Genomic DNA, 13,088 nt, shown 5'->3' on the forward strand with positions numbered 1-13,088 from the left:
CCAGCCTGGGTAACAGAGCAAGACTCCATCTCAGAAAAAAAAAAAAAAAGTTGATAGTCCTTTAGCTATTAGCTATGAACCTCAGACAAATCACTGAGCTTTTCTGAATCTGGGTTTTCATAAGTCTAGATGGTATATGAAGAACACCTTCCCTATTTAATACTCTCTAAAGTACCACTTCTAGTTGGTTCCTAGGAACAGTGTTTGAAACGTACCTTTCTATTTACTGAGCTCCCCACAGACACCCAGCTCTTGCTAGATGCTGTGGAAGATACACAAGTAACTAGCACACACAATCTGCACTCAAACTACCACACACATAATCAGAAACACATTACATGGTGTAGTCAGTACAGAAAAGGAGTATTTAACAGTGTGCTAAACAGTATAGCAAAGACAAAAAAGAAAAGGTTGATTAAATGTTATTGACTGAAAAGAATGTAGGTTTTATTTTCTAACATAATTTCCAAGGGCAAGTGGTAAAAACAAAACTAAACTGCATACTGTTAAATAACAGGACTGTGGTAATTATTTGCTCTCCATGCTCAAAAGGAGTCATTATCCACTAAAAGGCTAACTTCCCCATAAGTCATCTTTTTTGTGTATATCACTTGGTTGTCAATAAAGACACTCTAACAGACACATACAGTCAGACCTCATTATCTGAGTTCTGCATCCGTGGATTTAACCAATTGCGGGTCAAAAATATTTGGGAAAAAAAATTGGATCTGTACTCAACATGCACAGACTTTGTTCTTGTCATTATTCCCTAAGCAATACAGCACAACAATTATTTATATAGCATTCATATTGTATTCAGTATTTTAAAGTAATCTAGACATCATTAAAAATATATGGGGGGTATGCATAGGTTATTTGCAAATACTGCACAATTTTATATCAGGGACTTACTTGAGCATCCTTGGATTTTGGTATTTGAGGAAGGTCCTGGAACCAATCCCCCACTGATATAGAGGGACAACTATACCTTCCCAAATCTTGAACGTTTTATCTACCAAAGCTTTGCCAACCCCAAAACATGATTCACAAAAGCCCTAATAAGAGCCCTGGCTAAGAATAGAATGGTTTTACTACAGTTTAAATATAGCTGGAAAAATAAAACCCCCATCCTTCTATAGTGAGGATCTACAATTCATGAGTTTCTCCATGAATTCTCATAACTACACACATGATCCAAATGACTCATGTTCACTGAGCATCACCTCAGAATTTAGCTGGGGCCAAGCATGGTGGCTCACACCTGTAATTCTAGCACTTAGAGAGGCCAAGGCGGGTGGATTGCTTGAGCTTAGAAATTTGAGACCAGTGTGGCCAATATGGCAAAGCCCTGTCTCTACAAAAAAATACAAAAAATTAGCTGGGCATGGTGGTGCATGCCTGTGATCCCAGCTACTCAGAAGGCTAAGGAGGCAGGATCCGTTGAACTTGGGTGGTTGACGCTGCGGTGAGCCGCAGTTGCGCCATTCCACTCCAGTCTGGGTGACAAAGCAAGACCCCATCTTGAAAAAAAAAAACTGCTTGGATTACCTCATTTGTTTTTCATAATCATCTTTCTAAGGTAGGAACTATTACTATTCCTACTTTTTTTTTTTCAAGGAATTTCTGCCTAAAGGATACTATTCCTGCTTTAGAAGAGAGGAGACTGAGGCTTGGTTAAGTGACTTTTTTTTTTTTTTTTTTTTTGCGATGGAGTCTTGCTCTGTCGCCCAGGCTAGAGTGCAGTGGTGCGATCTTGGCTCACTGCAAACTACACCTCCCAGGTTCAAGCGATTCTCCTGCCTTCAGCCTCCCAAATAGCTGGGACTATAGGCATGCACCACCACATCTGGCTATTTTTTGTATTTTTAGTAGAGATGGGGTTTTACCATGCTGGCCAGACTGGTCTCTAACTCCTGACCTCAGGTGATCTGCCCACCTCAGCCACCCAAAGTGTTGGGATTACGGGCATGAGCTACCACGCCCAGCCTTGGTTAAGTGACTTAAAGTCACATGGCTCTGACTTGATAGAACCAGTATTTAAATCCAGGCCATTTGTCCCACAAGCCATGCTGCCTTTTTTTTTTTTTTTTTTTTTTGAGATGGAGTCTCGCTCTGTCACCCAGGCTAGAGTGCAGTGGTGCGATTTCAGCTCACTGCAACCTCCACTTCCCAGTTCAAGCAACTCTTCTGCTTCAGCCTCCCGAGTAGCTGGGATTACAGGCATGCATCACTGCGTCTGGCTAATTTTTTTTTTTTTTTGTATATTTAGTAGAGATGGGATTTCACCATTTTGGCCAGGCTGGTCTTGAACTCCTGACCTAAAGTGATCTGCCTGCCTTGGCCTCCCAAAGGGCTGGGATTACAGGTGTGAGCCACCATGACTGGCAGAAGCCATGCTCTTCAACCACCACACTTGCTATTTCCCACAGGAAACAAGCTTCTTTCAGTCCCCAACATTTTTTTCTCAGTGACCTCAAAACCACTCCCCACAGTTTTACAGGTTTTTACCATACAGTGAGGAGGCCAGAAAGATACGGTTCTGGAAGAGAAAGACCGTGGGTTACTGCCACTAGCATCCTCAGGACAGAACACAGTGCTGTGCACAGGGCACCTGGTGAACGCTTCATAAGTATTTGTCAGGTGACTGGGTCTTGTGTGTCATTTTTCATATTCTAGAGAATCAAATGCTCTGATTCAGGATGATGTTTTACCTGCAGATGGTTTCTACCTCCATGCCAGAAAACCCAAATGCACTGTCTCCTTCCACACAGATGATCCATTGCCCAGGGCTTCTATCTTTAGCCACCACGGCAGCTGCAATAGCAAATCCCAAACCAACTCCCATTGTTCCGAAAGTACCAGCATCAAGCCTGTTGGAGAACAAAGTTAAAATGAAACCCTCTGGGGCATGTCATAGAGGATGGGATTGGCACAAACCTTCTAGTCATATTTACATGGTTGATGGAAAAATGAAGAACCATAAAAACATTCTCTTTCTTCAATATAAAATCTTTAGACTGCTAGGAACTAATTTGTCAAGGATAGAAAAAAGCCACCCATGTTTGCTTGGAAGACTATAAACATATTCCTAGAATACTAAGTAAACAATTATCATGATACCAAGAACACATCAAGCATAAAAACTCTACAAAACCTCACCTAAGGATACTTTTATGAAATATGTCCTTACATACTAAACATGTATTAATTCTCAAACGTCTTCTTAATCTGCACTATTACAGTTTCATATTAAACACATTATAATGAATTACGACTTCTTTCTTCTTTAGAAGTCTTACCTGTGACGAGGAAGGTAGTTCTGAAGCACAGTCCGTCCAATGTCCATAGTATTTGCTCCTTCACTTACCACGAAACAGTCTCTAGGTAGTTGTTCTTGAACATGGTAGAATACTGTGTAATAATTCATAGGCAGGGATTTTTTAGAAGCTAGTTCCTGAAAAGTAGATGGGAATATAATCAAATTAAATTGGGATACAATGAAAATAACCAATGTTAATAAGATGCTATCAAACTTATTTGGAAATACGCAACAACTACAAGCTACAAGGTTTCCAAATGGCTATAAAATGGCCACTCTGAGAAGTTGGCTGACCTGTGAACAGCCCTGGGGGACATGTGTACCACAGTCCCAGTTGGGAACACAATTAAATAAGCTCGGGAATATCCCGCCTCTTGGAGATCTGCAATGCACAGGAGTGTATTAAAGACATTGAGAAGTCCTACAGTAAAGACAGCTGAGAAGCACTGGGTTACATAAAACTAAACGTTCTTATTTGAGCACTCTTAGGAAAACGGTGCCTTAGAAAAAGTGAAATTTATTCCAGAATATTTTCATCTGAACTATGACCCTAAACTTAAAATGTCACAATTTTAGAATACAATCTGAAAATCTAGTTTTTCCCCCAACACACTTAAGAGTTAAAGGAGCTATCTTACCCCCACTATTCTAAAGAGTCCCTGAATGGAGAGAAAAACAGCAAGGTAAACGCCTTTGTCTAGCCACATGCCTTTCAGGGCTGAGAAAAAGCCATAGAGAGCTTTAGCAGCAACAGTCCCATCTGGCCCCAGGACTGCCTCTTCACCTATGCTACTTTGTTCTGCTGGAGATTATACACAAGGTAAAGAGGGACCCTCCTATACTCCTGCACTAAAGAAGAGAAGCAAGTCCCTTCTATCTTAAACCAACATCGTTCCTATGCGAAAGAAAAGATTAGTCATGATATGACTCAGGAAATAAAATTGAGACTGGTGGCCAGGCATGGTAGCTCACGCCTGTAATCCCAGCACTTTGGGAGGCCAAGGCGGGCGGATCACGAGGTTAGGAGTTCGAGATCATCCTGGCCAACATGGTGAAATCCTGTCTCTACTAAAAAAAATACAAAAATTGGCTGGGTGCGGTGGCTCACGCCTGTAATCCCAGCACTTTGGGAGGCCGAGGTGGGCAGGTCACCTGAGGTCGGGAGTTCGAGACCAGCCTGACCAACATGGAGAAGCTCTGTCTCTATTAAAAATACAAAATTAGTCAGGCATGGTGGCACATGCCTGTAATCCAGCTACTCGGGATGCTGAGGCAGGAGAATTGCATGAACCCAGGAGGCGGAGGTTGCGGTGAGCCAAGCTCGTGTCATTGCACTCCAGCCTGGGCAACAAAAGCAAGACTCCATCTCAAAAAAGAAAAAAAAAAAAAGTAGCCAGGCATGGTGCCAGCTACCTGTAATCCCAGCTACTCGGGAGGCTGAGGCAGGAGAATTGCTTGAAACTGGAAGGCAGAGGTTGCAGTGAGCTGAGATCGCGCCACTGCACTCCAGCCTGGGCAACAAGAGTGAAACTCCATCTCAAAAAAAAAAAAAAATTGAGACTGGCTCCAGATAGAAACAGTCATTGATTAAAATTCTAATGTAGGCCAGGCACGGTGGCTCATGCCTGTAATCCCAGCACTTTGGGAGGCCAAGGCGGGCGGATCACGAGGTCAAGAGATCAAGACCATCCTGGCCAACATGGTGAAACTCCATCTCTACCAAAAATACAAAAATTAGCTGGGCGTGGTGGCACACGTCTGTAGTCCCAGCTACTTGGGAGGCTGATGCAGGAGAATTGCTTAAACCTGCGAGGCAGAGGTTGCAGTGAGCCAAGATCACGCCATTGCACTCCAGCCCTCTAGCCTGGCGACAGAGTGAGACTCTGTCCCCAAAAAAAAAAAAAATTCCAATGTAAGACAGATTCATGTACAATCAATTCTGCTATAATGTTTGATGCGAAAATGTGAATTTATTCTAAGACAATTGATATATTAGGGAACCAAGTGAGCATAACTCAAATTTTATATTTGCTTATGCGTGATTCCACCAGTAAGAAACACTGGTGGAATCACGCATAAGACACAGAAAACTGCACCCAGCTGAACAAAGATACATATGAATACACAAAACAATAAAAAAAAACCACCTTTCTCACATAGGGAAAGCACAATACACACACATGCACACACACACACACACACTTTACTAGAAATCGCCAAATCCTGCAGCACTGACTCATTTTAGTGCTAGTAGTAGACAGTTTGATGGTTTCTAGTATCATCACTACAATTTCCAAAACCTTAGCTACCAGGCAAAGCCAAGAGTGCAAATGAGAGCGCTGCAAAAAAATTTCCAGCAGTGATAAAAATGTTAAATAAAAAAGAAGGCTATACATTGGATCAAAATTTCAATTTTTATGAAACAGCTATTATAATAGCACGCCCTGAAGGACCTATATCTTAAAAGCAGAAAAACATCTCAACCCAAGATTTAAGGATTCAAAAAAAAAAAAACCACTTAATAGTTAATTTGTTTTTCTTTTAGAGACAGGTTCTCACTCTGTCACCCAGGCTTGAGTGCAGTGGCATGATCTACTACTGCACTGCCACCTCAACTCCTAGAGTCAAGCAATCCTCCAACCTCAGCCTCCTGAGGAGACAAGACAACAGGTGTGTGCCACCACATCTGGCTTTTCTTTTTTTTTTTGTAGAGACAAGGTCTTGCTATGCCCAGGTTGGTCTCAAACTCCAGGCCTCAATTGATCTTACTGCCTTGGCCTCCTAAAGCACTAGGATTACAGGTGTTTAATTGTGATGTTCTATGCCACCATCAAACTGAAGGCACACCCATCCACTTCCACTATTATGACTTTCTATCCAATGTCCAATCACCTTCCTTCCACCAGCTCACAGTAACTCACAAGCTACAACCTTTCAGAAACTTCAGGTCTTTTTCAAGGTAAAATGCTATATTCATTGGCATATATTTCTTAACCATTTAACACGTTTAAAACATTAGGTTCTTATCTTATTTTTATGTTACACAAAGTTTTTGAGAGTTGTGCCACTAAATCCCTTTTTCCATGAGACCTGGGGTTTTCACTGCACAATTTTGCACATCAAGGTGATTTTTAGGAATGCACATGTCACATTACGGCAGAAGTAACTGAATCATGAGCCTGACCTGTTATTGAGCGTCAGTAGGTCCGATTTTACCTTGGATGCAGCTTCATTGCTCTTCATTTTTTCTCTCAGAGTTTTCCACCACTTGCTCTCTGGAGGATACTGCCATGGTGTTTTATCAAGTTCCTCTAAAAGCTTAAAAAAAAAAAAACACACACACACAAACACATAAACTTTTTCTTTGCCTTTTTTTTCTTTTTTTTTTTTTTTTTTTTTTTTTTTTGAGACGAAGTCTCGTTCTGTCACCCAGGCTGGAGTGCAGTGGCGCAATCTCAGCTCACTGCAACCTCTGTCTCCCAGGTTCAAGCAATTCTTCTGCCTCAACCTCCTGAGTAGCTGGGAGTACAGGTGCCTGCCACCATGCTCAGCTAATTTTTGTATTTTTAGTAGAGACGAAGTTTCACCATGTTGGCCAGGCTGGTCTCGAACTCCTGACCTCAGGTGATCTACCTGTCTCGGCCTCCCAAAGTGCTGGGATTATAGGGATGAGCCACCATGCCCAGTCTGCTTTTTAAAAATAAATTTAAATCATATTAACACGGAAGTATCTTCTTAAAGAAGACTATACGGCCATACTACCCTTCACATTACTCAGACTCTTTTTTTCTTCCAGTTAGTAAACACCTGATAGAATCAATGGGAAACATGGAAGGCTTTTGTTTGGTCAGTGTGGGTGTCTGCCAGATGCTAACACCTGATAGAAAATCAATGGGTAACATGGAAGGCTTTTGTTTGGTCAGTGTGGGTTTCTGCCAGATGCTGGGATGCCCATAGGACAGACTGGAGTGCTACCTCCTCCACACCTCAAGCAAGGGCTCTGAAACCCTCCTCGGTCTTTGACACTGGAAGGAAAACCACTCCTTCCACAGAACTCTTGCAGGAAAACCAACAAATAACCACGGACTCCTATGGTACAGACCAAATGCTCCAGAGTGATTTAATATGTGATTCAAGATTATATCCTATATTGTGTAATCATGACAACAATACCAAATTGTATCATCCAAAATCAAGTGATAAATGTGACTATATTTTATCTCCTGTCACAGTGAAATGTACAAACTATGTACAAATAATAACAACCTGTGGAAAAGTCACTGATTAGTTTGAAGAGTAAAAAGCTCTTTTTTACCTAAAGAAATACTTTTAGATTTTTCCAGTGCTAAGCCATTCTTGCCACTTCTTGGCAGTAAGTTCAGTTCCTTTGGAAGGTATACTTTTTCAGATAGCTGGATGCTATTTAATAAATTAGTAAATTTAGTATATTACTGTTTGCCTACTGAAAGATGTTACATTTTCAATCATCTTCCAAAAATGCTTAACTTACATAAAAATGAGCTATGTACCAGAAGTTGGACTTAACAAGTTCCAAAGTTGTATTTAAGAATAGTTTTCAATCATACATTTTGTTTAAAACAGATATGAATAGTAGACCCGTTACCAAGTGAATCAAGATTAAAACATTTTCAAGAATTGACTATTCCCTAATAAGCACTCCACATAAACTAAAACAAAAGTTCTCACCTGCTTAGTGACAGCATGTATGTTTCCTAGCAAAGTAACAGCGGGCTTTACATTATTCCCCAATTCTTCTGCACAGATATCAACCTAAAAAAGAGACAAGGCTAAAGAACAACCCATGTTTATTCTGAAAAATATGTAAGAAGGCAATTACGATTGAATAAATGAACTGTGTATATAGAACACATGATAAAGAAGATTTGATATTCAGAAGTTCCTTAATAAAAAAAGTAAAAGTCCATAGAACTATATTAGTATCATAGCTAGTATAGAGAGCCTCATTATCTTCCCTCATTTAAAAATCTACTCTATGGAATTTTGGTATTGCTTCATTATACCCATAGGGAATGCATTTGACCTGATCAATTATAGTTTTGCATCTAATCAGTAAGTTCTATTGAATTACATTTGGAATTCCTATCTAGAGTGTGGGTTCTCAAATATAAGCATATATCAGAGTCACCTGGTATATTCTGGGCTTGATAAACCATAAACTGTAGGAGTCTACCTCAGAGTTTTTTATTTTAATAGGTCTGGCGTAGGGTCCAGAAATGTGCATTTCTAACAGGTTTCGCAGGTGGTGCTGATGCGCCTGGCCCAGGGAACCACATTTAGAGAACAATTCCAAGAACATGGCACGATTACTTCTCCATTTACTCAGAAGTTCCATGTCTGGATGGCCATGGACAAATGATGGCTTCTGCAAGGAGGAATACTTTAGCCACCCCAAAGGGGATGTATCTCATTCTATAATCAAGAGGGCAATCAAGAGGTATTGGCATCTTCCAGGTAACTCTGTCTTGTTTGTCTGCAGTTTTAGTTCTCAACTGGCTCAGCTGGGAAAGGAGCAATTAGAAGTTGACTCCTTAAGAAGTAAAAGGTAGACTGGGAAAAGGGCAACTGTAGCTGGCTCATCAAACATCAAGCAACCCAAGCACAGTGGCTCAAGTCTGTAATCTGGCATTTTGGGAGGCTGAGGTAGGAGAATTGCTTGAGGCCAGGAGAATTGCTGAGACCAGCCTGGGCAACATGGCGAGACTTTGTCTTTACAAAAAAATTAAAATTAGCCAGGCATTGTTGTACGCGTCTATAGTCCCAGCATGTCAGGAAGCTGAGGCAGGAGGATCACTTAAGCTCGAGAGGTTGAGACTGAAGTGAGCCATTATCGTGCCACTGCACTCCTGCCTGGGTGACAGAGCCAAGATGCTGTCTCAAAAACAACCAAGCAAAAACATCAAGTAAAATGGGGCGAATCCGTGTAGGGCAAAAAGGTTTGCACACCACTATGCAGGTAGTACTTTCCACACCAGTAAAGAAAATGGCTTATAAGGTGGGTCATAATGATACAAGAATCATCAAAGACAGGTCAGAATACATTCCGGATGCTGTTTAATGACTTGTAAAACAGTGTCATTTAGAAATTCCCATTGGAAGGGTGAAAGTTTTGGCATCTGAAAGAAAACCTCACTCCCTAACAAGGCCAAATGTTTTGTTCTAGTCTACCATCCTACTTAAGTCTCTTTTCTCTACCTTTAAATATACTTGAATTGTGAATAAAAGACAAATTATGCTTTCTAAACTATTTGAAACTTGATTTTGAAAGGTTTTCTGGCTAGAAGTGGCACACTATATTTCATAGGCTAGAAAAGGAAGCTTATTTTGGTACCTATAATTATGTTAGACAATTTGTAAAATTCTACTTGTGTAAAAAGAGAACAGTTTTTTTAATAGTAATCAAGAAGATAACAGAGCTGATTACGGCTGATAGGGAGAATAATGAACATAGACATTTCTGATTTTAAGTTCCTCCTCTCTAAGTACCTGGATAAACTTCACATCTGGCTGATATCTTGGAGGCAGTCCAAAATGTAAAATCCAATTTAGTCTGGCACCAAATAACACAATTACATCAGCAAATTGCAAAGCCCTATTAAAAAAATTGATATGAAAGTATAACTACATTTCTTATTTGAATTATTCGAAAATTCATCTCTGAAGTATTTGAAAAGTCTAAATCATTTGGAGCTTACATCAGACTTCAGAATCAGCTTCTAGGGTATATTTGATCTTTCAAGCTAAAATAATTTATAAAACCATTCTATATAAATAGTTATCTAAAATATAAATTAAGTTAAAAAACATTACCATAAGCTGTATCTACACTCTTTTATTACTTTTTTATAATTAGAAAAATTAGTACAAGTACACTGTAGGCAATCCAGAAAAAAAACAGAAAAAGTATAAGGCAAAAAACAAAATCACCCCATAATACTTTCAACTTATAAACTATTATGAATATACTGGCAAATTTTCATCTACTTTTGTTTTCTACGCAAATACATTTTTACATAGTTGAGCTTATATACTATAATACTGTCTCATACACTTTTTTTATTTTGTTTTGAGACAGGGTCTCTCTCTCTTTTGCCCGGGCTGGAATGCAGTGGTGCAGTCATGGCTCACTGCATCCTCTCCTCTCAGGCTTAAGCAACCCTCCTACCTCAGCCTCCTGAGCAGTTGGGACTACAGGCACGTGCCACTGCACCTGACTAATTTTTAATTTTTTGTAGAGATGGGGTTTTGCCATCTTGCCCAGGCTAGTCTCGAACTCCTGGTTTCAAGTGATTCGCCCACCTTGGCCTCCCAAATTGTTTGGATTACAGGCATGAACCACTGCACCTGGCTGTCTCATATACTTTTGCTTACATAAATGTTTTCCTGGCCTGGTGCGGTGGCTCATGCCTGTAATCCCAACACTTTGGGAGGCAGAGATAGGTGGATCATGAGGTCAACAGATGGAGACCACCCTGGCCAACATAGTGAAACCCCATCTCTACTAAAAATACAAAAATTAGCTGGTTGTGGTGGTGCGTGCCTGTAGTCCCAGCTACTCAGGAGGCTGAGGCAGAAGAATTGCTTGAGCTCGGGAGGTCGAGGCTGCACTGAGCCGAGATCACACCACTGCACTCCAGCCTAGTAACAAAGCGAGACTCTGTCTCAAAAAAAAAAAAAAAAAAAAAAAGGTTTCCTTTCTCATTAAGTTCTTAAATACAACTTTTAAAGGCTACATATTTTGCTGAACACAATATACCAAAATTTATTTAATGTTTTCTCAATTGCTAGATATTTTGTTATTAATAGTGCTGGCTTGCACATCTTCACACTTAAGTCTTAATGCACTCTTCACATTGGTCCCTAGAAGCAGGTTATTTTTAAGACTATTGATTCATATTCCAGAATTGCTTTCTAAAATATTACACCAATTAGATTTCTAAGTTTTATTTTATATATTTTAATACTTTTGTCAATATAACTTCTAATCTTTTAATGATTTCTACTTTCGTAAACAACCACCCTTGCTTTCTTTTTCTTTACTTCACATATCTTTGCCCAGTCTTGTTTTAAAGCTGTATCATTACGTTTCCGATGTGGCTCTTATAACACATACAGTTGCTGTTATTACTAATCTAATCTAATCTGAATGTCTGCCTTTTTCCAGGAGAGTTTATTATCATAATTGTCATAATTGCTGTGGGTTTTGTTTTGTTTTTCACTTCTCATTTTTCTGCTTTTTATCTGTTTCCCCTTTTTCCTGTCTTTTGCCATACAGGATCTGTATCTACTGCTTTTGTCTTCTTCAGTGATAAATGCAATTTTTCACAGAAATTATATACTCATAAATTGAGTACATACTCAAAAATCATCTTTAATATTGTATTAGTCCTATGAGACCCAATTTAACAAACAGATAACTGCAATCAGCAGGACGGACTTGCTTACTGATACTCTAAAACTCTTGAAATCATTGATTCAATTATTTATAGTCCCTTGTAACCTTTTTTACACTGGTAATGTCATTAATATTATCCTCTTAAAATCTGGCTAGACTGAAGATAAACTTCATTTCAACCTAAGTATAAAAAAATTAAGTGTAAGAATTAACTTGGTTACTGTATATAGTAATATAAATAAAAATACAACATATTAAGATAGCATTAAGTGAGGAACAATTAAAGATCTAGCAGCAAACATTACATTTAAAAAGCCCTCAGAAGCCAGGTGCTCACACCTGTAATCCCAGCACTTTGGGAGGCCAAGGTGGAAGGATCACTTGAGCCTAGGGGTCTGAGTCCAGCCTGGGCAACACAGTGAGGCCCTGTCTCTACAAAATAAAAATCAAAAACCCTCAGAATTAATTTTAACCCATGAATGAAAATATGAAGAACACCAAACACATGACAGTAATAAACTACAGAAAGGGAAGCAAGAAATGGCATCAAAAAAGATATTTAGGGGACTGCAAATGAATCCATAATTTTTTGCTTCCTAAAAAGAAAAAAAAAAAACACCTTAGGCCAGGCATGGTGGCTCATGCCTGTAATCCTAGCACTTTGCGAGGCCTAGAAGGGTGGATTCCTTGAGCCCAGGAGATCAAGACCAGCATGGGCAACACGGTGAAACCTCGTTTCTACAAAAAATACAAAAATTAGCTGGGTTGTAGTGGCACACACCTGTAGTTCCAGCTATTAATACTTGGGAGGCTGAGGTGGGAGGATTGCTTTAGCCCAGCAGGCAGAGGTTGCAATCAGGTGTGATTGCACCACTGCACTCCAGTCCAGGCAACAGAGCAAGACCCTGTCTCCAAAAAAAACCCAAAAACCGGCTGGGCGCAGTGGCTCACACCTGTAATCCCAGCACTTTGGGAGGCTGAGGCGGGCGGATCACAAAATCAGGAGATGGAGACCATCCTGGCTAACACAGTGAAACCCCATCTCTACTAAAAATACAAAAAATTAGCCGGGTGTGGTGGCAGGCGCCTGTAGTCCCAGCTACTAGGGAGGGTGAGGCAGGAGAATGGTGTGAACCCAGGAGACAGAGCTTGCAGTGAACCAAGATCGCGCCACTGCACTCCAGCCTGGGTGACAGAGCAAGACTCCGTCTCAAAAAAAAAAAAAAAAAAAAACCAAAAACCCTAAAGCAATATAAAACAATGTTAATAACTGATGCAATCCTACTTCTTATACATTACTGCCAAATGAAACCTTTTTTTACTTAGAGATTCATC

At 40.0% G+C, this 13,088-nt stretch overlaps 1 protein-coding gene across 5 annotated transcripts in view; it reads right to left on the bottom strand.

Annotated features, from left to right (window-relative positions):
* HACL1 (2-hydroxyacyl-CoA lyase 1) overlaps positions 1 to 13,088 on the bottom strand; it is a 40,871-nt gene that overhangs the window by 4,434 nt on the left and 23,349 nt on the right. For 3 of the 5 annotated variants that reach the window (NM_001284413.2, NM_001284416.2, NM_012260.4), the window contains 5 exons: positions 9,845 to 9,950; positions 8,027 to 8,110; positions 6,536 to 6,637; positions 3,300 to 3,454; positions 2,712 to 2,870 (listed from right to left, as the gene is read on the bottom strand). In NM_001284413.2, coding sequence (NP_001271342.1) covers positions 2,712 to 2,870; positions 3,300 to 3,454; positions 6,536 to 6,637; positions 8,027 to 8,110; positions 9,845 to 9,950 — 606 coding nt within the window. The remainder of the gene's footprint in view (positions 1 to 2,711; positions 2,871 to 3,299; positions 3,455 to 6,535; positions 6,638 to 8,026; positions 8,111 to 9,844; positions 9,951 to 13,088) is intronic. The other 2 variants (NR_104315.2, NM_001284415.2) reach the window with 2 other exon arrangements.

The sequence above is a fragment of the Homo sapiens genome, chromosome 3 (genome assembly GCF_000001405.40).
Source record: "Homo sapiens chromosome 3, GRCh38.p14 Primary Assembly".
In the NCBI taxonomy this organism is placed as follows: domain Eukaryota; kingdom Metazoa; phylum Chordata; class Mammalia; order Primates; family Hominidae; genus Homo; species Homo sapiens.